Source organism: Homo sapiens, chromosome 3, assembly GCF_000001405.40.
Source record: "Homo sapiens chromosome 3, GRCh38.p14 Primary Assembly".
NCBI classification, from domain to species: Eukaryota; Metazoa; Chordata; class Mammalia; order Primates; family Hominidae; genus Homo; species Homo sapiens.
This window is the reverse complement of record NC_000003.12, coordinates 130,934,863-130,960,000: the sequence shown is the minus strand read 5'-3', so window position 1 is coordinate 130,960,000 and position 25,138 is coordinate 130,934,863. Positions and strand designations below refer to the sequence as shown.

General features: G+C 35.0%; 1 protein-coding gene across 22 annotated transcripts in view; it reads right to left on the bottom strand.

Annotated features, from left to right (window-relative positions):
- The window catches only part of ATP2C1 (ATPase secretory pathway Ca2+ transporting 1), a 166,118-nt gene that overhangs the window by 56,712 nt on the left and 84,268 nt on the right, over positions 1 to 25,138 (bottom strand). For 21 of the 22 annotated variants that reach the window (NM_001378511.1, NM_001199180.2, XM_047447960.1 and 18 more), the window contains 7 exons: positions 22,538 to 22,573; positions 19,310 to 19,371; positions 18,302 to 18,410; positions 6,025 to 6,180; positions 4,921 to 4,989; positions 3,822 to 3,897; positions 660 to 726 (listed from right to left, as the gene is read on the bottom strand). In NM_001378511.1, coding sequence (NP_001365440.1) covers positions 660 to 726; positions 3,822 to 3,897; positions 4,921 to 4,989; positions 6,025 to 6,180; positions 18,302 to 18,410; positions 19,310 to 19,371; positions 22,538 to 22,573 — 575 coding nt within the window. Of the gene's footprint in view, positions 1 to 659; positions 727 to 3,821; positions 3,898 to 4,920; positions 4,990 to 6,024; positions 6,181 to 18,301; positions 18,411 to 19,309; positions 19,372 to 22,537; positions 22,574 to 25,138 lie in introns of those variants that run through there. The other variant, XM_011512686.3, reaches the window with a different exon arrangement.

The window sequence follows — 25,138 nt, the reverse complement described above, 5'->3', positions numbered from 1 at the left end:
ATACTTGTGTGTCATATCTTATGTAATTTTTGAAACTCCAATTAGTTACAAGTGGTATTTCCTGAAATTATTCCTCTTCATCATTTTATCTCATTCTAAGACTTTTTACTCTTTTTGGGGGGAGACCTCTTTGAATTTATATTACACCCCTACAATTGAATTTTTAATTTCAACAATCATAATCTTAATTTCTAAAAACTCTTTTTGTTCTCTGATCCTTTTCTACAACAATTTATCTCATGGATGCAGTTTCTTCACAAGTCTCTGAAAATACAAACACTTGGTTTTTAAATTTGTCATCATTTCTTCAATGTTTCGTTTTCCTCTGAAATTGATTATTCAATTTCTATATTGTGAACTTTCTCTTTCATGTTGCTAGTTTTCAATTTGACAATCCTTAATTGTATATTTATATATAAAAAGGCAATAATGCATTAGTAATTCCAGACATCTAGTATGGGTTTTCTTCATTACCATATACATACATTTTCATTTTTCTAAGGATAATTTTAATATATGACTTCTGAACTATTTATGTAGCGATGTTATACTCTTATGGGCTCCATGTAATACTGATCTCCATAATAAAACGTAAGCTATGTCCATTAGAGAAATAAAAGAGGCAAAAGAGACTCCAATTATAAAGTATTGAGACTTACCTTACACTAATAGTAAACATTTCCAGGATATCTTTTCCCAGTAACCAGCCAACCAACATGATGATTCCTGAAAGATAATTAAATAGTTATTTTTCCCTTTTACATACAATCACCTAGAAGGAACAGAACAAGCTGAAGGAATCTAAAACGTCCCTTGACAAAAAAGGGAAAGCATATCAGATCACAATTAGAAGATTTTATAAAAATCCATTAAACAGGGGAGGTTAAAGTTAACACTGCTTAATGTGAATGCTGTGCATACTCACATACGTACATGTGTGCACACACACACCACACATGCACACACACACACAGTTTTACTTTTGGTTGACACTGCTCCTACCATCCCTTAAAGCAGTAATATTTTATTATTTTTTTAAAAATTACCAGTATGTTCATACAATGAAAAAAAGAAGGTGGCAGCAAACATATAGGTCTTCTATTTAATATCAAATATGCAAAATTAAACCCTAAAACTTTATTTTCCATAACACAATATCCAGACACTTCTCAGCAAATCCATACTACACACAAAGGGACACTTACGACTTGGCTCAAAAAGTGATGTGCCTTACGTTAAGCACCTACAACTGCATTAACATCTAAAAATCACTACTTTTATGGCATTTCAAAAATTTAAAAATCAATTAAACCAATACTCCTTGCTTTAACCTTTTATCTTTGAAAAGAATAGGGGGAAAGGGGCGCACAAGCAGGTTTGTGAGGAAAAAGCAAACAGATTCACGAGAGGTTTGATAAAATAAGCTATCTCAAGACTGCAAATCAATATGAACATTTAAGACAAGTTTTTTTTTTCATCTTTATATAACTAAAGAATAATTATCCAAATAGCAACCTTCTAAGATCCTATCCCAAATACTATCATGATGAAAGAAATTATGTCCAAAGGATTATACCAGGGGTCAGCAAACTATAATCTGTGGGTCTCCTGTCTGCTTAGGTAAATGAAATTTGTTGGAACATAGCCACACTCATTTATTTACATATTTTCTATGATTGCTTTCATGCTAATGGCAAAGTAAAGTATTTCCAACAGAGACCATATGGACTAAAATATTTACTATCTAGTTCTTTACAAAAAACAAAAAAAAACAATTGCTGACCCCTGATCTAGCTCTTGACCTTGGCAAGAAAAATTATGTCCAATGTAATATACTAACATATAACCAGAGATCGTAAAGTTGAAACATATTTATTACTAAATTTGAAATGGTTTATGGTATAGTGCTAATAGAAACTACAAAGATTTAATTGGCTAGAATGTCATTCGATCTATCAAATTCACTATAAAATTTCTAGAAAATGAGCAATAATCAAACGGAAGAAGTTATGAGGGCATACACACCAGTAAAACAAAAATAACTAAGATAACTTCCTACCTTCTACTTTATGTTTACAATGAAGATAGATGGATAAACAGAATTACTATTTACAAAGTTATTTCAACTAATATTGTATTAACAGAAATATTGCTTTAAAATTGCATTAGTCCTGTAATCCCTGCACTTTGGGAGGCTGAGGTGGGCAATCACATGAGTTCAGGAGTTTGAGACCAGCCTGGCCAATGTGGTAAAATCCCGTCCCTATTAAAAATACAATAAAAAAATTAGCCAGGTGTGGTGGTGCACACCTGTAATCCCAGCTACTCGGGAGGCTGAGGCAGGGAAATCACTTGAACCCCAGGAGGTGGAGGTTACAGTCAGCCGGGATTGCGCCATTGCACTTCAGCCTGAGCAACAAGAATGAGACTCCATCTCAAATAAAAAAATTGTATTACTGACTTTGAAATACTAAACTAGCTGGAATAATTAACACGGTAAGAAAATTAAAGGAGAAAAGACTCCAAAATTAATGCAAGTGCTTAATGTGTGATAAAAACGTGACTTCAATCCAATGAATAAAGACTGGATTACAGAATTAATGGGATAATTAACTTGAGTAAAAAAGTTAAAACTCTGCCTTAAGCCATGTACTAAAATAAATTTTAAATAAAATAGTAAAATGTCAAAAATAAAAAACTATACAACAATGTTTTAATAAATGTTCTTATAAACATGAGGTTGGGAAAATCTTTAGGAACAGAACAAAACCAACTTAATTGCAGAGATTATCAATAGGAGGGTGATAACAGAATCTCAAGGAAAAGGGGATGTTTTAACCCATTTGTGTCTGAGGTTGCAATTTTTTGAATTTTTGCAACCAGACCTTGGCAATGACCTTGAGCAGTAGGATATAAATAAGTCCCACATGCTTAGCATTCCAATAATGGAACACTAGGCATAAATGGTTAATTACATATATTGTCCTCTTACCAAGTTTATTCCACATGCCTCAAAGGCAACTTAAACGGGAAAAAAAAACTTATACAACAAAAAGATTGATAATCTAGTCATATAAAAAGCTTTTATCAATCTAAGACTCAAGACACAAGAAAAGGGACAAAAGAAATCGTTGGCAGGTCATAAAATGAAATAAAAATGATCAACCCACACATGACAAAGCATTCGGTTTCCCTAATAATGAACTGTGAAATCAAATAATGAGAACTCTTTTATTTACAGTTGAAGTTAATGACAATACTTAAAGCTGGCCAAAAATTTAAAAGTTACATGGATCCCCTTTGACTAAATAATTTTATTTCTAAGAATTTTTCCTTAAAAAAGAGAGGTATTTACCAGAAGACACCACACTAAAGAAGTATTTATATGACCAAAAAAAAACCCTCAAAAAATCCTAAATGTCTAGAAGAGGTCTTCTTATATGTTTTCCCACAAAATAGAAAACTATACAACCTTTATGTTTGTTTTATGTGACCATCAATTTAATGACAAGAGTTTTATGACAGGATATGTGAAATAAAAATAGAAAAGCAGTCCATAAAACTATCGTATTACATTCTTGTTGAAGACTAGAAAGACAAATACTAAAATGTTTCAAGAAATATTTTCTGATTACAAGAATCAGAGTTCTATTTTTTCTTTGTTGAAATGAACAATGGCTACTAGTAGTCTTATAATTTTAAAAAGTATTAAACTTAATAAAAAAAAGAAAAGCCAATAAATAAAACTAGAATACCACCACCCTTCACATTCAAAAAACAAAACTCAAATAAAAATATATACATACTCACTCTTCTCTTACCTATTATACCAAAGGAGTAAAAGGAAAGTTGTTTTCCTAAGAGGTCCATGCTCTTCTGCAGAGGGGTTTTTGGTGCCTTGATAAATTGAAGAAGAGTGTCACCACAATTAGCTATATTTACTAAGCTTTATCAAGTGCCAGGGGCTTGCTAAGTGCTTGACAAAGCAATTCCTAAGTTAACCATACAACTCTCCCATAAGGTAAATAATCACCTTCACTGAGAAAACTGAGACTTAGATTTTACACAATGCCCAAGGTCACACAGTGAGGAACAGAAATTCTCTATTTTTAAAAACCTGTTTATTATTTGAAAAGGTCCGTTCTCTCTATGCTTCCTTTTGAGGAAAAATCTGTTCTCCCTCCTACCAACCACTGCAGGACTTCATTACCATCAGCTGCTCTCTCACTTGCTTTTCCAATTTTTCCCTTTTGGTATCCACAAACATGCTAGTAACCCAGGTCTTTTAATCCTCCCTCAACTGCTAACCCTCTTCTCTATTCATCCCTTCACTGCCACGCCTCTTGGAATGAGTTCCCACTTTGCATCGCATACTGGAGTTTTGGCAGGTTACCTGAGAAATCCAGAGGATTTGGGGAGAACACGACATTTGCAGAATGAAGCTTCTTTTTATAATAAGAAAGTATTTAAAATGAACTCATCTTTAATACTTTTAGCCGAGAATATCTTGTAGGTTATTTTACTTGGCAATCTTTTCCCTGCCACCCTTACTTGGAATTATGTGAAGTTGAAAAAATTTGATAGAAGACATATTCCAAGGTACAAATATACTAATTACTAATCCTTAAAATTACCACAACACTAATTTCTGAAAATAATAAGATCTACAAATAAGTGGCTATAAGCCTTTTTCTGCTATAAACAATGAGTAAAGCTCAAAATCCTTTAGAATACTAACAACATCAATTTAGACCTTTTCAATTACAGGCTTTCCAATTATGTTTCTAAACAGAGACAACTGATTTCCATTCTGAATAAAATATTGCTCTCAATAGTATATAAAATAATCCAACATTCTCTACTTACAATGAAGAATTTCAGATTTGGAACAAATACATCATTAACATATTAAGTACTCACCTCTTCTGCTTGCATCATTTTAAAAACCTCCCCAAATTCAGAATTTTCTCCTGTTCCAATGACAACACCCTAAGGGGAAAAACAGGAAAATACATTTACATCCAGATGAAATGTAAACCAAAACACATACACACACACATCCAACAACTTTCAAAGTCTTACCTACAGTGAAGATGTCTAACATACACACTCCTAAGATTTCCTCAGCAAATTTACTTTTTTATGTTCCTGTCATTAGCATTTGCCCCTTATGATTTAAACTCTGGAAACAAACATTACATTAAACGTATTGCTGGCCGGGTGCTGTGGCTCACGCCTATAATGCCAGTACTTTGGGTGGCCGAGGCGGGTGGATCACTTGAGGTCAGGAGTTCGAGATCAGCCTGGCCCACATGGTGAAATGCCATCTCTACTAAAAATACAAAAAATTAGCCAGGCATGGTGGGACATGCCTGTAATCCCTACTACACAGGAGGCTGAGGCAGGAGAATCACTTGAACCTGGAAGGTGAAGGTTGTAGTGAGCCAAGATCACGCCACTGCACTCCAGCCTGGACGACAAAGTGAGACTCCGTCTCAAAAAAAAACGTATAGCAGACTCAATTCTGAGGCCTATTTTTTGCCTATATTAGTATTTCTGAAATACAAACATGTATTATACTCAATAGGAGACATTTAATATAGTTTCTTTTTACCCCTAGTGAATGGTGTCTTTTGCACTGGTGGAGTATCAGAATTCAGGAAAGGAAGCATTTGAAATCGATCAACAGGTGAACAACATATAGTCAGATTATTATAGCCAGTATCATATTAACTAAATTAAAATTTATTTAATAATAAACACATCCATGAAAACACTGTTTCTCTCTTTAAAAAGAAACAGGTATTGAGGATTATCCATTATCTGGGAAATAGCAGAACTACGGAAATATTATACTTTGGGGACACAGATTCTCCCCAGTTTCACAAATAGATGTAATGGGTTAAGTTCAATTTTATCCTTTGTCATGTATTTGAAAAATTCCACATAAAATCAGCAAAAAATAATTGAGAAAATAGTTTCAAACAAAGGAACTGCTTTTTTCAAATCAGGAAAAAAATTTACCTTTGCTTTGCCACATCTGACCAGTGTTCCCATAAAGGCAATGTTACTTCTCGATGCAAGATCTCCATTAGTTGCAGCTGGCTGAGGAGCTGTCACCTTAGAACAAGGCGTTGTCTCACCTGTCAAGCTGGACTCATCAATGGAAAGATCCACAGCCTTAGGGAACATAAAGAATCCCAGATTCAAATTTTGTGCTACATTTAACATCTCTAGAGTTCATAACCATCATCACTTCTTCCTCAAACATCCCTTTTCCATTGATTAGCCACATCTTGTATCAAAACCATCACTCTAAAAGACCAGAATCAGTACAATCATATTTTAAAATACAATTAAGTCAACAAAATCTAAGACATGCAAAGTAGAATGCTGTACCATGAGACTAGATTAGCCTAAAATTGAAAATACAACTAGGAAAAATTTGACACTAGCTAAGACTCAATCTTCATCTAGAGAAAACTCAACTTTTCATGACAAAATATTATTTCCTAATTTTGTCAAGTACCTAAAGTTCTGGAAATATGGCTTGGCAGATTAAAACCATCGACGATGACTGAAAGTGATAAATGAATAAAGGGGAAAAATGTTACTTAGAAATCATTTCATCATTTTGGAATCAATTTTCATAAAATCATTATTGTTATACATGCCGTTTATTCCAAATTACAATTTGCAAGACTCAAAAATGTATACAAATGCTTTCATGCAGATCATAACTATCATAATATCTTCCAACTCTGCAACAGGGCTCAGTTTTGAAGGCTTCACTCCTGACACAGTATTTACCTACCCAAGCATACAGAAAAAAGAAAAAAAAAACAATTTTATGAGTATAGATACATACACACATACATACATATATACATACATACATACATACATACATACATACATACATACGAACAAGTGAGGGAGAGGACTAGGGCCAAGTAAGTCAGAAATAGTTAAGAGTTAAACAGCTTCCTCTACTGCAGTGCTCTCAAAACCTTCAATACATTAACATGAATCACCTCAACAGGAATACAGATATACAGCAAAGCTTCTGAAAGGAGGACAGCATCACATCCACTACCTCAGAACTTGTTAGAAGTTAAGAGTCCTTTGCTCCACCTCAAACACAGGGTGGAAAAAGTAAACCTAACAGACAGTATTTACAAGCCCTCCAGGTGATTCTGTTGCAAATTTCCATCCATTTTATTCCAGAAGCATTTATTCAAGGGTCCTTAGGATACTCTGTAAGAAACTAGGAATTAGTTCATGACTTTACTGATTTTACAGGCTCATTCATTCACCCAACAAACATTTACTGACTATCAGTGTTAGGCACTGAGCAAGCTCCTGGTAAGAAAACAGGATAAATTACTGCACAGTATCACTGATATTTTAGGCTGAGTCAGTATTCTCAATCAGGCCTTTCTTAACTCTCAGTTCACACTATGTACCAAGTATTCTAAATTTAAATCTTCTTTTTCTTTTCTTTTGGTGGGGGGTGAAAAGTTATAAATTACATCTTTTCAAATGGTTCACTTCTGAGCATAAAAACCTCAAATAACCTCACGTAAAATGATTATTAAAAATTGGTTCACAGAATCTTCATCTCCTCAACAAAACTGTTTTAATTTGATCAACAACATTCCTACATTCACTTAACAAATATTTATTACTGCTTACAATGTGCCAGGCCCTGTGCTTTATCATACACAGTAGGATAATCAGCAGTGAATGAAACAAAGTTTCTACCCTTGGATATTAATGGGAAAGTGATTTTAAACAAGCACGAGTATATAACATAATGCCAGGTAGAGGGAAAACAACAAACATAATAAAGATAGAGCCACATTTTAGAAGAAAACATTCCCCAAAACCAGGTAATCCTCTGCAGAGCCCTGACAGACCTGAGAGCTCCAAGGCTGGGCCATAATTAGGGAGAGTGGATTTCATGTAAAGGCAACAAAAAGTACAAAGACCTTGGGGACAGGAACATGCTTGGTGTGTTTGTGTGTTAGGCAAACATAACTGCAAAAATAACAGTTTACAATAGGTTGTTAAGTTTTAAAATATTCATCATGAAAATAAATATAACTCCAAAGAGACAAAATTGTGCTAGCATTTCCCAGAAGTTTAGATAATATGACAGTGGAATGCATTTTAGTATCAAAATAAGCTTACAAAAATTATTCTTTAAAATACAGATCAATAGTCATTTAGACTTTAAAGGATTTTGCATTTAACATTAATTGTGTATACAAACACAAACCAGTTAATAAATCTGAGTTCATTACCTTAACGCAACTGAAGATTTAAAAAACACCTGTCATGTTCAAAGGCAAGTGAATTTTTCTTTATTAAAGAAACATATTTATTTGACTTTTATTTCCACGTTAACCTTGGAACTATTTAACTTTTCACACTAACACATTTATTAGCAAGGTAAGAGAAACAAATCTTAAAATGGGCCCTTCTTCAAAGATAATGCCAATACTAAAAATCAGCTGACATTTCATTGCTTACCATCTGCTAGGCACTATGCTACATATCTATGCTAAATTATCACATTTAATCCTACTAACAACTCCTATGAGGCAAGTAATTACTATTATTATCTGTTTTACAGGCACTGAAAGGTTAAGTAACTCATCCAACGTTATAGAGGTACAACACTATGCAGATAAAATTCCAGTGTTGAAAGACTTTAACTCCAGATTCCTCTTAATTATTTAGAGGATCAATCTGCAAATTATTTCTCCTCCCCAATTTTGTAACCACTTATAGAAAAAGACAGTATAACACATAAAGCAAAGATATGTAAAAAATTATGTATTATCTGAATTACAAGTAAATTTATATAAGGTTCATTTTATTTAGCAAGCTCATATTTAATGCTTGTTACAACAGTCAGAGTTGCACGTAACTTTCCAAGATCTTAATTAGGAAAGAGACCCACTAATATTTAAAAATACTTGTAGAAATTTACAGAATTCCTTCTGTAAGAGAAGTAAAACTCATGTTTTCCCTTTGAAGACTTTTGCTTTAAATGTAAATCTTAAACATGGATAAATACTAACATGAAGTGACTAACAGAGAAGGAATTTTTTTTTTTAATCTGTTGTTTTTAAAAAGAGAAAAGCATGATTTCATGGCTCTGTCAGCAACCTAGCTCTTTGGTTTCAGCCTCAGAACAACAATCACTTAAGAGAGCCCTTGTCTGGTGGAACAGACAAGCTGATGTGGAAGAAAAAGGAGCTCAGGACCCTAATTTTTTCCTATATCATTATAAATTTGCAACTAAAACTCAAATGATCATGAAATTTGTCTAAATCTTACAATGTCCCAATCTGCAAAGATTTCAACTATCTGTTGAATACGAATACTTTCTAAGTCACAAGTTATTTTCTCTTAATAGTGATTGCAAGAGTTTTCCTAGGAAGTAGTTTTGAGGGAGTAGAGGGAAAGAAAAGGTGGAATTTAATAAATTAGGCAAGCCTATTACAGTTTAATAAAGTCACAATTTAATTCGTCTGAGAAGAAAGATATTAGAGTCATTATTCATTGCATTCATGAGAGAGGGAAAGGTAGGATAAAGTGAAATCAAAGAATCAGGCAGCCCCATGACAGCCAGCCAGAAGTTTAAGTATTAAACCCTCAGAAGACCTGTTAATGAACAAGAAAACTGATTTTCACTTTCATTCTTCTTCAAGCAGTCTGGTGGAGGTGTGAATATGCTATAAAACAGTTCAAAAATCAGAATATAAATAAGAATCAAGACGACTATATAATCCACAGTCTAAATATTTAACATGTACACAATAAAAATGATTGGAAAATTCACAAGATTATTATTCCCATAAAACACTAGAGAGAAAGAAATCAAATGCCAGTCACAAAGGTTTCCTGAAAGGCAGAAAGTACTTTTAAAAATTCAGGTTAATATGGAACAACTGGCAGCTACAAATAAGTTCTTAAGCTAAAGAACGGTTTGACATACGGTACACTGATAAGGCAATCACCTCTCGAGTCTAGAATTAAAAGCAAATCATTAAAATGCAGATTAGAAATGGATTTCTCTCCCCAGAAAACAATCTTCCAAAATATTCACCTGTAGCTGCCTGATCATGATAAAATTTCTTACTTCTGTTCTCAAAAATTAACATACCTCACTGTTTATGCAAATGAAGAAAAATGTAATTTAAAATCTTCATGTATTTAACTTACTAACACTCAAAGCCAAACCAACCAAGTGTTATGTTACGTATTACTGAAAACGATATATGAAATTAATTTTATCCCGTGGTAGATGCTTACATAAATTGCTAACTTTCTGATTCGAGTATACAGAAAGTTATTCAGAAGATACAGCTGTTTCATCTACATTGAAAATGTTCGGTACAACCACCTTCCTCAATGATCTTAGCTACATCTTCTGAATAACTTGCTGCAGCTTCTCCATCAACATCTGCTGCTTCATCTTGCACTTATATGTTACAGAGATGGCTTCTTTTCTTAAACCTCACGAACCAATCTCTGCAAGCTTCAAACTTTTCTTTGGCAGCTTCCTCACTTCTCTCGGCCTTCACAGAACTGAAGAGAGTTAGGGTCCTGCTCTGGATTAGGTTTGGTTTAAGGAAATATTGTGGCTGCTTTTATGTTTTATCGAAACCTTTCAAACTTTCTTCATATCCACAATAAGAATGTTTTACTTCTTATCATTTGTGTGTTCACTGGAATAGCACTTTTAATTTCAAGAATTTTTTCTTTGCATTCACAACTTGGCTAATTGTTTGAGGCAAGAGGCCTAGCCTTCAGCCTATCTTAGCTTTTGACATGCATTCCTCAGTAAGCTTAATCATTTCTAGCTTTTGACTTAAAGTGAAAGACATGCAATTTTTCCTTTCACTTGAACACTTAAGAGGCCACTGTAGGGTTATTAATTGGCTTAATTTCCATATTGCTGTTTCTCAGAGAACAGGAAAGCCCAAGGAGAAGGAAAGAGCAGTCGGGCAGAGCAGCAGTAGAAAACACGCAACATTTACTCATTACATTTATAGTCTTACATGAACATCGTTAATGATGCCCCAAAACAATTTTAACAGTAACAGCAAAGATCACTGATCACAGATCACCATAATAGACATAATATTGAAAAAGTTCGAAATACTGTGAGAATTACCAAAATGTGACACAGAGATACAAAGTAAGCACCATGCTGTTGGAAAAATGGTGCCAACAGACTTGCCTGACACAGGGTTGCCACAAATCTATTAATATATTTTTTTAAATGCATTATCTTTGAAGCATGATAAAATGAGGTATGCCAGTACAATCTCAGAAGGAAAAAAGAGAAGGCGACAGAAAGAATAGCTGAAGATAAAATGGCTGAAAACTTCCCCAACTTGATGAAAGACATAAATCTACACAACCAAGGAGCTCAATGAAATCCAAATATAATAAACTCAAAGATATCCACAATTAAACACATTATAATCAAACCATTGAAAGATAAAGACAGAATCTTGAAAACAGCCACAGAAACAACTTATCACATAACAGAATTTTCATTAAGATTAATAATCCTAATCAGAAACCACAGAGGCCAAAAAGAGCAGACATTTATAATATTCAGAAAAAAAAAACTGTCAACCAATAATTTTCTATCTGGCAACATTATCTTTTAAAAATGAAGGAGAAATTTTTAAAATCCTAAATAAACAAAAGCAAAAAGAGTTCATCACTAGTCAGACCTGACTCATAAGAAATGCTAAGAGACAGCCCTTTAGGCTGAAATAAGAAAGTAGAAAGTAACTCAAAGCCATATGAAGACATAAAGAATTCCAATGAAGCTAACTATGTAGGTAAACATAAAAGTCAGTATTATTGTATGTTGAGTTCGTGACTCCTGTGTTTGCTTCCTATATAATTAAACTTATAAATGCATAAAATGCTTATAAATCTATATTAATGGGCACAGAATGCATAAAGATGTCATTTGCAAAAATAACAAAGATGAGGGAGGTGTGGGCTGTACGATTTTGTATGCTACTGAAGCAAAGTTAGTATCACTTCAAATAGATTGTTATAAGATTAGGATGTTCATTGTAATCCACATATAATCACTAAGAAAATAAGTAAACAGTATGCACAGAAAATAATTTGAGGGAATAAAAAAGGTACATCAAAAAAAATCAATTGGAGGGGCGTGGAAAAAAAACAAAGAAGGGCACAAAGGAGAAACTGAGGAACATAAAAAGATAACACAAATAGAAAACAAGTAACAACAGAAGTCCTTTCCTATCAGTAATCACTGTAAGTGTAAATGGATTAAATTCACCAACTATGTGATATAAATCCTTACAATGGAAAATTATTTGGCAGTAAAAAACAATGACATACATGAATGAAGTACCTAAAAACATTACATTAAATGAAAGAGGCCAGACATAAAAGACTACATATTGTATGATTCTACTTATATGAAATGTCCAGAATAGGCACATGTATTTCAGTGGCAAGCAGATTAGTGGCTGCTAGAGGCAGGGAAAATACAGAATGAATGCTAAGAGGTAAGGGTTTTCCTTTGAGAGTGATGAAAATGCTCTATAATTAGACTGTAGTGATGGGTGTACAACTGTGAATATACTGAAAACCACTGAACGATACACCTTAAATGTGTGAACTGTATGATATGCACATTATATCTCAAAAAAGCTGTTTTAATAATTTTTTTTTTTAATGTGGTGGATGGACCAGTGCTTTTGGCATGGTCTAAGAGCTGGTTAAGTATGCGTAATCTCAGGCCCCACCCTACACCTACCAAAACAGAGCCCAGCTGATTCCTAGGCACATTAGAAGTTGGAATGCATTGCTCTAGGGCAACTCTGTGTCACAGTGACAAAACAGGCCTGAAAAAATCAAGCGGCTTGCCTAGGCTCACATGGTCAATTCATTTCATGAGCAGACACATATCATTCTTTGAATCACAGTTGTTTGCAAGCTGGTGTCTGCCAATGGAGAGGGCTCAAACTGTCTTTTTCACTTCTAAGCCCTGAAGCCTGATACAATGTGCTGTACATGGTTTTCAAATATGTGCTAAATGGCGAAAATGGTTTCATAACAGACTGATTTCCTAAGAAATGGATTACAATTGCCTAAATTAGCTTCATTACCAACATAAGTAAATTTAAAATATCACTACATGCTTACATTTTATCAAATATTTGAAAACATTCTTTTTTGAAAAAGCATACCAAACCAAATCAGAATTGTAACCTGGGTTTTACCAGAGTATTTTTTCATTGAGTAAATGGAACATGTATTTTATTAACTCAGGAAATCAGAATGCTTGACACAGAGTGATTGCTCCAGTAATGGATTTACCCAACGTGGAGGAAGCTGCTTGTTAGCGGGTCTTAACAACAGACTGGGCAAGAATGTGAGCCTCACAGATAGGAACATAATGGCTACATGGGGTTCCAGTCAAGGAGATTATTTCTGACTCCTTCAGGTGGCAGGTAGCTAAAGTATATCTGTGCTGGCTCAATGATGCCCATTATCTTTGGTTTTTACTTCTCCTTAGAACTAGGGAACAGAAAGGAACAAGCCCTGAAAACACCAGAAACTACTCACTGAGCCAAACTGCTATACTATAACAAAGTACAAGGATTCATGAGATTAAAAAATGGCTCACAATATAATGCCCACTGGCGTGTTCTTAAGTTTGAATTCCTGAGCTTGGCCCCAGTTAGACCCTAACTCCTAATAGAACTAACCTTTCTGCCCAGATTAAAATGGTCTGATAATCCAGTATCATAAAAACAGCTTAATCTTGGTTGCTAGCCCAAGTGGTAATTCTCTGAAAGAAGTCTGATACATTTAGAAAATCATCAGATCAAAAATAGGTTTAAAAAAATGATGGGGGCCAACTATAAGCACATGAACCACAAAGCAAAGTGTCAATGGACTTATTCAGAACTTCAAATGAAAGAAAATCTTGCTATCATTTCAAGCGATGTATTATTCGGCTTAGAAAGTTATAGCTGAGAGAAGTAAAATATTTTCAAAAGACCAAAAAAAAAAAAAAACCCACAACCTTTTTCCATCTGACCCTCACGCTGTTTTTTCTTACAAAGAGTTCTTTATCCAAATATTGATATAGACTTTACCTGGAACAACACCAAAAATATGCTGTGTTTTCACAAAGGCAAAACATACTGTTCAATGATAGACTGGATTAAGAAAATGTGGCACATATACAGCAGGGAATACTATGAAGCCATAAAAAAGGATGAGTTCTTGTCCTTTGTAGGGACATGGATGAAGCTGGAAACCATCATTCTGAGCAAACTATCACAAGGACCCAAAACCAAACACCACATGTTCTCACTCATACGTGGGAATTGAACAATGAGAACACTTGGACACGGGGTTGGAAACATCACACACCGGGGCCTGTCGTGGGGTGGGGGGAGGGGGGAGGGACAGCATTAGGAGATATTATCTAATGTAAATGACAAGTTAATGGGTGCTGCACACCAACATGGCACTTGTATACATATGTAACAAACCTGCATGTTGTGCACATGTACCCTAAAACAAAGTATAATAATAAAAAATAAATAAATGAAATAAAAATAAAAATAAAATGTACTGTTATCCAGGCATACATAGTCAATAAGATTGCTTCATCTAAAGTCATTGTCCGACCAATCCATTGGTTATCATCAAGTAATTGGCCAGTGGTGCCTCTTCTCAACACTAAAAGTTAAAATAAAAACCCTCGGGGGAAAAAAAAACAAATAACATGCCCAAAGCTCAATTCCTCTAAGTTTTACTGTCCTAGCTCCATCAGTGCCTCTCAGGCTCCTGCTGGAAAGGCCACTGCCACCAACTATAGTCCTCCCTCTGTAGCAGTGGATTCAAGCAATCACAGGTGGAAAATATTCAAAGAAAGTATAATAAAAAAAATACAACAGTAAAAAAAATACGAACTTTTAAAAATATAGTATAACAACTGTTGACATAGCATTTATATTTTATTAGGAGTTATAAGTAATCTAGAGATGAATTAAAGTATACAGAAAAATGTGCAGAGGTTATATATAAATACTACTCAATTGTATGTAAAGGACTTGAGCATCTTTGGATTTTGCTCTCTGTGGATCTACTAGGACCGATCCTCAGTGGATACCAAGGGAAAACTATCTTGGCTCAACCACTGGCTTCTGAAAACCTGACACAGGCAAGGGAAAAACTACACAATTCCTTAAGTTATTAATATTAGTCTTTAAAAAGTATAAACAAAATGGCAGTCTCAACCTGTTACAGTCTTAACTATGTATCCCAAAAAGTCACATGCTATATAGCTCTACAGTCAATGTTATAGTATTTGGAGATGGGGCCCTGGGAAGTAATCAGGGTTAGATGCGGTCATGAGGCTAGTCCTAATGATGCCATTAGTGGCCGTATAAGAGGAAGAGAGAGAAATTGCTGTCTCCGCCATGTGAGGACTCTGCAAGAAGATAGCCATCTCAAGCTAGCAACAGTCCTCACCAGAAACCAAACCCTGCCAGACCTTGACCTTGAACTTCCAGCCTCCGTAACTGTGAAAAATAAATGGCATGGTATTTTGTTAAAGCAACCCAAGCTAAGACACAACCTATGAAGATAAAAGTTGTACCAGATAAAAGTTGTACAACAGTCAAGTCACTGAATGTGCTAACAAGAAGCTGCTAAGGACCCAGGCAAGTTTACAGTCAAACTCTGAAAGCACTAAAATTTATGACAGTTACAAAATGATGACACTAAAGTTGCAACTGTGGCTTTAGGCCTAGTCTGTAAGAGAACTAACTACATAGCAGAAGTTCACAGACTTGCTTTCTCTAAAGTGAAATCTATGTGCTTTGGAAGAAATTAGTGATATCCCAAAGCTGACTAAGGAGTTTTCTGGTTCCTTTAAACCCTAATGACAGTTTATTTCATACAGTAGTATCAAATGACCAGCTAGCCTTACAAAATTATCCAAAGATCACCACAGCCAAACTGAGCCAACAAAACTCCAATAAGCCAATTTACTTTCAAAAAACTAGCAGCTTCTGTGTCCAGAAGAGAAACTGACTTTATCAGTCTATATCCTAAGTCAGTACATTTAAATTTAGATGGATAAAAGATCCCCAACTCTTTAAGGAAAGTTATTTCAATCTGCAGTCAAAGTAGTTGCAAAAGTCTGTTTGGGGTAGCAAGTAACAGGCAAAACAAATAAGGCAGAATTAAGGTAGAGAGAATAAAAAATGTTCAACTATATACGTAAAAGTGGATTAACTAGAACAAAATCAACCTAACTACAGTACTGCAGAATAAAACGTGCTGATGAAGTGCTTGCAAAGTTAACAAGTAGGGGGAAAACAATAATAACTAATAAATTACTCCACAAGACATATGCTTATAATTCTTATTAAATTCACAATGTCGGCCAGGAGCGGTGGCTCACGACTATAATCCCAGCACTTTAGGAGGCTGAGGCAGGTGGATCACCTGAGGTCAGGAGTTCAAAACCAGCCTGGCCAACACAGCCAAACCCCGTCTCTACTAAAAATACTAAAAAATTAGCCAGGCGTGGTGGCAGGCACCTGTAATCTCAGCTATTGGGAGCCTGAGGCAGGAGAATTGCTTGAACCCAGGAGATGGAGACTGCAGTGAGCTGAGATCGCACCACTGCACTCCAGCCTGGGCAACAGAGTGAGACTCCATCTCAAAAACAAAAATAAAAAATTCACAATGTTTTCAATATATATTTGCTGAGTAGATAAAATACATACTAATCTATACTGACAGGTTTTCTTTCCTGTTTACATGTGAACTTTGAAATAATTAACTGTCAAGTCAATTAACCCTTAGTTAAATGAAAACCCTAAAATAGTTTAGCAAGCATTAATGGTGTTTTGAAGTTTCTATCATTATATTTCTCGAACCATGCAAATGAGAAACACCATCTTCTAACTATCCCAATGAGAAGTTCTGCTTCTCAACTGGAAGAGCAGCAGCCCAGAATAAAGAATGGCATGAACTCCATGAATTTAAATTAGGGTTTTCTGGGGGAGGGGGAAGAAAACTTATGCCAAGTGACAAGACTACTTAATCTCTGAGGAAGAATAATTCAAGGTATTGTCATCGGCAAAATATTAGGAACTGAAGGAAAGAAGAGTAGAAAAGAATTAACATTAAAAAGACCTCAAAGACGAGAAAAAGGATAATGAAGTAAAATTAGTAACACTTGCAATATTATCAATTATTCCTAGTCACCCAATTAAAGCAATCCAGTAGCTTTCTAAGGATAAATTTCAAATATTTGGAAAAAAGGCCTCTGCTGAAAGATTAAGCCAAGTTTGTTCTTATTACAGTCTGAAAGGTTTTTCAGGCCTTCTACAGCATCTATGAGAACACTCATACTTTTGGCCATAGTATTTAAAGACTGACTGCTCTGCAGGTGTTAACAAACAGCTTAATTCCAATGGTGGATAAGACCTGCATACTAATGGGTTTTGAAAGCCTGTTAAACTAGGTGCCTATCTCCATTTTCCAGTTCTTCAATCTATTCTACACACTGTAGCCAGATTAAGGATAACATTATTTAGCAACTGCACAGGAGCCTCAAAAGGTAACTCCTAACCAAAAAAATCTGAAGTTAAGCCTAGTATCCAAGGCCTCTGAAATCTGATTCCATCACACGTTTTCTACCCTTACCATGTCCCAACAGAGTTTCATACACTGGAATGTTCATAGTGATTTGAATGGTGTTGCTTCATTGTCTTCCCCATCTTTGTCCAGTACTACTCTTCAATTATCACTGCCAAAGCCATGTGGTCTGAGGCATATTCTGATCTCATTCAAATCAGGTGGAACCTCTCCCTTCTTTAAATGTCTATATCCTATTCTTTGAACTTCTCTTACTCAATTACTGAGTTCTATTTTATGGTGAGTAATTTGTGTACACATAGTATGTTCCCTAGTCACAAGTATTCTGTCATATCATCTTTGTATCTCCCACAGTCCCTAATATGCAGGTTTCTATAAAGATCTGCTGATTCACTAAACAAACACCTCAAAAGATGTTACAGTAGAGACAGATACATTTTAAGGAAAAAAAAAAGTTTATATATGTCACATTTTAAAGTAGAATACCAAATGGTTCAAATCAACTATGTGTTAATTCCTTAAAACTAGTAATGTTTATCCTTTAATCTACATCCACGTATTTTCACTTATTACAATCAGATCCCAAATTTACCTCAAACAAGCGTAAGTCAGCAGGAACTCTATCCCCAACAGAAAGGCAAACTGTATCACCTGGAACCAAGTCTCGGGCAAGTGTATGCTCCAATTTTCCTTCACGCACACTGTAACACGAAATAGAAACAACCATGGTTAAAAAAAAAAAATTCATGCAACTTGTCTTAAAAAATTATTTCCAGTAGGCTTGTCTGAGGAAAAGGCAAATATAAGAACCAAGAAAAAGACTGTTTCTAAACACTTAAGATGCCAAGATGACAGAAAATAACTTGAAAAACAAATTATTTGTTCAAATGTAAAATGTGCAAATTGAAGCAACCTTTTGAATCACCTGGGTCTGTTTGATTGTGAATCACTATACCCAGAACAGGGCTTAGCACACACTTGCGCATGGACACGCGCATGCATGCGCGCGTGCGCGCACACACACAGACACACACACACACACACACACACACACACACACACACACACTGTTAAATACAGCCGGGCGCGGTGGCTCACGCCTGTAATCCCAACACTTTGGGAGGCCGAGGTGGGCAGATCACGAGGTCAGGAGATCGAGACCATCCTGGCTAACATGGTGAAACCTGTCTCTACTAAAAAATACAAAAGATAATCTGGGCGTGGTGGCAGGCACCTGTAGTCCCAGCTACTCAGGAGGCTGAGGCAAGAAAATGGCGTGAACCCGGCAGATGGAGCTTGCAGTGAGCCGAGATTGTGCCACTGCACTCCAGCCTGGGTGACAGAGCCAGACTCCATCTAAAAAAAAAAAAAAAAAAAAAAAAAAAATCTGTTAAATACATCCATGTCTCTAGAATCTCGGATTTTAAAGTTTTCAATGGTACAGTTTTGCTACATTAATGAGACCAGGAACTTTTTGTGTCAGATTAATAGTATCTTCCTTATGTTCAGACAAAGTGGGGATAACAATATGTACGGTACTAGTCACATTCAACTTCTATTTTTAAAGGGGCAGAAATCCATACCAAAAAAAGGATCATACCAATGGCATTCTGGTGGCACAAGTTTACTCAATTCTTCAAGAGATTTTTCTGAACGATATTCCTATTCAAACAAAAAAAAGTAGAATTTAATTTTGCTCCCATGAATATATTCCATTTAGACTTATTAATCTCAATCATTATTTTAAAATTTCCCCCAATTCTCATCTTTTCCTTTACTTGTGCTTATATTCTTACCCAGAAAAGCTTGTCCCTTATTTTAAAATGTTAAATGTAGAGATCAATTTTGATAATTAAATATTCCCAGTTTTACATTTTAATATTCAATGTACAAACCTAAGGTTATTTAGAATAAAAATGAAAACTGACTAGTATGTCCAAAGAGTACATAATTTGAGTCATTAAAAGTTTTAAGTCATTGAGCCTTAAAATTTAGATAATCTTATGTTAAGTGTCTAATGACCACAGAAGTCAAAGATAATTAACCGTAAACAACATCTGCTTTAGGAATTTAAGCCCATGCTAACAGCAATGGTTTACAAAGTAAACCATTAGAACAAACATGGGATAAACAAGGAGTAAGATGTGGCTGGCTCTATACTGACAGACCCAGTTCCCATCAACCTGTGTATCCAAAAAGGAAAATTCTCAGGAGTTCTAACAATGTGATTTCTAGCCTTCTTCCATCCAGATAACAAATAGCTGAGGGTCAGTCAGAAACATCCTTCAACTCACAATACTACTTAGTCCACATTTCCATGAGCAGTCTTGCATCACACATCACTGCTATTTTTGCCTCATGTCTGTAGTAAGCAAAAGAATCTTCTAATCTAAGGTCAAAAGAGGGAGAGGCAAATAGTGGAGGTAGAAGGGTTGGGAATGTTTTGAAATGACTGCAGTGCTAGTACTAGTCAAAATGTCCTATCCATCACAAACTTCAAATAGAAAACACAAGGCTATGTAAGAATAACTTAGAACACAATCAGTCTCTACTTAATCTTAGAGTGACAAATATAAGGAAAATCTACAAATGTAAAAATCATAAGACAACACCCCAAACACATGAAGGATATTAAGGAATTTGGAAGTTTACCCAAAAATTCTGTAATATGCTAGAAAATACCCATCAATCCTAGATCCCAGTAATAAATGACATAGATGCTGCCCAATCTTTACTTATGTCTTCTGGTTTCTTAGCCTCTACTCCCTACAATTATAAAGATACCTCTATATCAAAATGATCATTAAACATACCACCTAAAACCTAATAAATGCCTAAAAGTCATTTTTCAAATTTATTGTAAGGTGACTTCATTACGACTATATAAAACAATTAGCTATTTTTATGGCTGGGAAGAAGTACAGTGGTGTGGGGAATGGGGATTGCAAAGACACACGGAAAAAAGGCAGGACATAAATATAAAAAGGAATATAAAAAGCCCTCTTAAGACACAAGTAATATAGCACAAATAACAAATAATGATAAAGTATTAAGAATTTTTTATACATTTTTGATAAAGAGCTTTTTGATTAAAGCATTATGATAAGTTCAACTGACAGTAAATAGGATCTTTTTGGAGAGGATTTTTACTTGTTTATAGACTATTTTGTTGGTTTCACAGGCATATTTGGTGATGGGTCACATGTGTGTAAGAATCAGACCTAGCAATTTGAAACTAGGCTTTTTATAAAGTTTTCATCCTTTTGTGAGATTTCTATCAAATGTACCTATCATAAACATATTTAATAGTCTCAGCCATAGCATTTAATGTGTATAACAACACTATCTTGTGTAAAATTCCATATTGACTTATGTTAAAATCACAATTTTGTGGTGTTTTTTGAAAACATGGGCTTTCTAGTGATCAAAGAGAACAAGGTACTAAGGTCTTCCATACATAGTGATACTATTTGCAGGAATCCTTCTGAAGTAGGGCACTCCACATATCTGACACATTCTTAAAGACGCAAGAAGGTCCAGTTAGTGGTCCAGTGGGTCATATCACTCACTTGGCTGAATGAATAGCTGCCTTGAATAATGGTTAGCCTGACATGACCTATGCTAGACTAACCAGCTCCACCTGACCATGGGCAACATTTGTCTAAGCAAGAAGATTCCCCTAAAAGCGGAACCCTGATAGTCTACTAATGGAGCTCACAAACCTACTGCAAATGATCTGATTCCAACTGGCTTTCTACACTGGGTTACTACAGAACTAATAACAACTAGGTTAGAGATTACCTTAAGAGGCTGGGATAGTGACAAGAAATACCCACGTAATAAATCGTAGATGTAAGAACAACCATAGTTATTCAAAGTATAGGCTTCAGATTCAAAACAGCACGAACTTCAGGCTTATGCAACAATATTACATTTTTCTCTAAGCTAGAATAATTCTATTCTTGTTAACCATGTTCTAGCTAAAAAGGAAATCTGCTGATATTGTGAAACACTGTTCTAAAATCTACAGAAGTTTCAGATATTTAAATAAACATAAAACTAAGCCTACATTTTTATTTGTCTGTACTTATTAATAGAAATCTTGACAGTATCTCCACATTATTCATAGTAATTTTTAAAAGGGGCTACTTTACATATGTTTTATTTACTGTTTGAATTACTTTGATTCAGATCACAACACCCCTTTTGTGGAGGAATGAGAAATTGTTTTAAAGGGAGGGGAGAGGAGGTCATGCCAACAATGAGTAGAACCATTTTAATTCCTCAAAACAGACTCAAATAAAATAAGGTTAAGTGATAAATTCAGCAAACAAGTGTAGCATTTGGCTAAGGGAATCAGTCACAGAAACCTGTGGAATTTTCTTCAAATGGTACATCACAGATCGACCTTTTAATTCTATACTTTTTTGTTTCATCTAGACTTAGCTCTAGTAGGCATTAAAACATAACAGTGTTATGAAACTATAAACTCTGGTCCAATTTTTTAATTGAAAAAATAAAAAAGTTTACTGCTGGATTTTATTTCTATTACTATGCTTTTTGTTTCCATCTGCTTCAGTTATCCTTAACATTATCAAATAAAAAACTAGATTTTCTTCATCTCACTACCTAAATCAAAGCAGTTCCTTAGTCCCACACCACAAGCTTCCCTGAAGAGTTGTCTGTATCTGAAATTACTTGAAAAACAAAGAATAAGTTGTTCTGATGGGCATTACAACCCCCCAATAACGGTAGGTTCTACCACAAGACACCTTGATTTTTAAGCAATTAACATACCATTTTCATGTTGGCAAAATAGAGTACTTACCTGAACAAAGGCAACTGTAACAACGATAAGTATTGCCTAAACAAAAGAAACAGGCTTTTAAATCAGACATTAACTTGAGAAGTAACTGTTAACTGTATTTTATTTTTCTAACTATCTGCAGTCCCACAATAACAGATTTTAAACACTGAGATCAGCTGGAAAAGAAATCACAACTTTACCTTAAGGCCTGTGGGGAAAGAAGCTAACAGTTTACAGTGGCTTGCCATTACCAGGGCAGCTTCTCTAACTTTTTGATCTCAGGGCCCTTTTATGCTCTCACAAATTGAGGACCAGCTTTTAAGTGGGTTATATATACTGATATTTACCATATCAAATTTTTCAACTAGTCAGTTTTAATTTCTACTCATCAACTCATGTAAAAAATTTTAAACCTCATTACATGCTAACACAAATAACTTTATGAAAAATAAATTTTCCAAAAAAATTGTGAGAAAAATAGCAGTGTTTTAAATTTTTATATTTTAATATATGACTTTCTAGAAAGCTAGTATTCCATTTACTATAACATATTGTTCAGGCTAAAGTGTATGAAGAAAATCCAGCCCCATACAGATACGGTGGAAAAGGGAGGAGCATTTTTTCTTTTTTATTTTTTTTAGGGAGGAGTTTTTTTTTTTTTTTTTTTTGAGACAGAGTCTTGCTCTATTGCCCAGGCTGGTGTGCAGGGGCGTGATCTCAGCTCACTGCAAGCTCCGCCTCCGGGGTTCACGCCATTCTCCTGCCTCAGCCTCCCGAGTAGCTGGGACTACAGGTGCCCACCACCACGCCCAGCTAATTTTTTTTTTTGTATTTTTAGTAGAGACGGGGTTTCACCATGTTAGCCAGGATGGTCTCAATCTCCTGACCTCATGATCCACCCGCCTCAGCCTCCCAAAGTGCTGGGATTACAGGCATGAGCCACCATGCCCAGCCTAGGGAGGAGTATTTTAACAGCTTTTTCAGATGATTGTGGATATTCTTCTTAGCTACTACACCAAAACTCAAGTGCTAGTTACTTAAAGGTAATCTGCAATGTAGAATATAAAACTGTATCAATGCACCTTTCATAATCTATTATATCGAAATCCATTGACCTATCTTGCATTTGAATGGATCTTTTACCATTTCAGATTTTGTAATGTCACGCATTGGTCTTCTGGGAAATATTGGTTCACTTGGTTATTCAAATCTTCCCCAAGATTGCCCAAATCTTCCCCAAGGTTACCACATTTCGTAACAATTTTTTTTTTAAAAAAAACACACATTTGTTGAAATCACTACTGATCTAATTGGAATAAAGTCTTAAATACTGGGATGCTATCCAGCCCATAAGAGTGCATACAAATTTTCCAAAACCCTAATTATTGCTTGAAAACCTGAATTTTATCATTAGCAACAAATTCTGCCAGTTGCCTTTCCTTGGTCTGATTCGCTCATTTAATTCACTTTCAAAAATAAGAATCTGCTGGTTACCCAAGTCCTAACACCCATAGTTTGTCTATGAGTCAGTCTTTCAAGTACAAGGCTAGTTTGCCTCACAATCATCACCCTTCCTTGAGACAACCATTGTATTTCAATATACAAAAGAGTTTCATGCATACTTCCCATTTCATTACATAAATTATTATGAAGGTATGTACTCAAGGGTCCAGATTTAATAAAATTAATTTTTACTGCTTTATCAAGAACATTCTTAAGAAACATGAAAGAAAACAATGACTGTTAACAAAGTTGGGTGCCATTACTCTGAATTGTGCTAAGGCTCTAACAGTTTCACCTGCCATTGTTTTTGTGCCATTAATGCCAAAAGTCTATAATTGAAAGACAAATAATGTTTTAGTATTATTAAAATGGTTGTGACCTCACATACCCCTTGAACAGGTCTCAGGGATACCTGGGATACTGCAAGCAATAGTTCAAGAGCTGCATCTCTACAATAACATCTACAGTGTTCTTAAGCATAAGTGCTTTTACTTGCTACAAATTTTTTATACAAAAATGAAATGGAGCAAGAAGGAAAAAGATGAGAAAACAGTTCAATGAAAGCTAGAATAACCTAGCTGGAAAGAATAAAATCATATATAGTAAATGTATGCTGTAAATACAGCATGCACTATAAGGAATATTTTTAATTTCACATGTCAGGCTTTAGTTCACAACTAGTCAAAATATATTCTCAACTGCAAAGTGAAATAAATTTAAAATTTAATCAGATAATTATAAAATTTCATATTTGTGAAAATTACCAGTTAAAGAATTTTCATGTGTGCTAATCATGGACTTTTGAACATTACTCAAAATTACTGTAACTATAATAAAAGCAGAATTTGAGCCAGGCACAGTGGCTCACACCTGTAATTTCGACACTTTGGGGAGGTCAAGGTGGGAGAATCACTTGAAGCCAGGAGTTTAAGACCAGCCTGGGCAACATAACAAGACCCTGTCTTTACAAAAAAATTTTAAAATTGCTGGGGGTGTTAGCATACACCTGTAGTCCCAACTACTCAGGATGCTGAGGCAGAAAACAGCTTGAGCCCAGGAGTTCGGGGCTGCAGTGAGTCATGACTATACCACTGCACTCTAGCCTGGGCAATACAACAA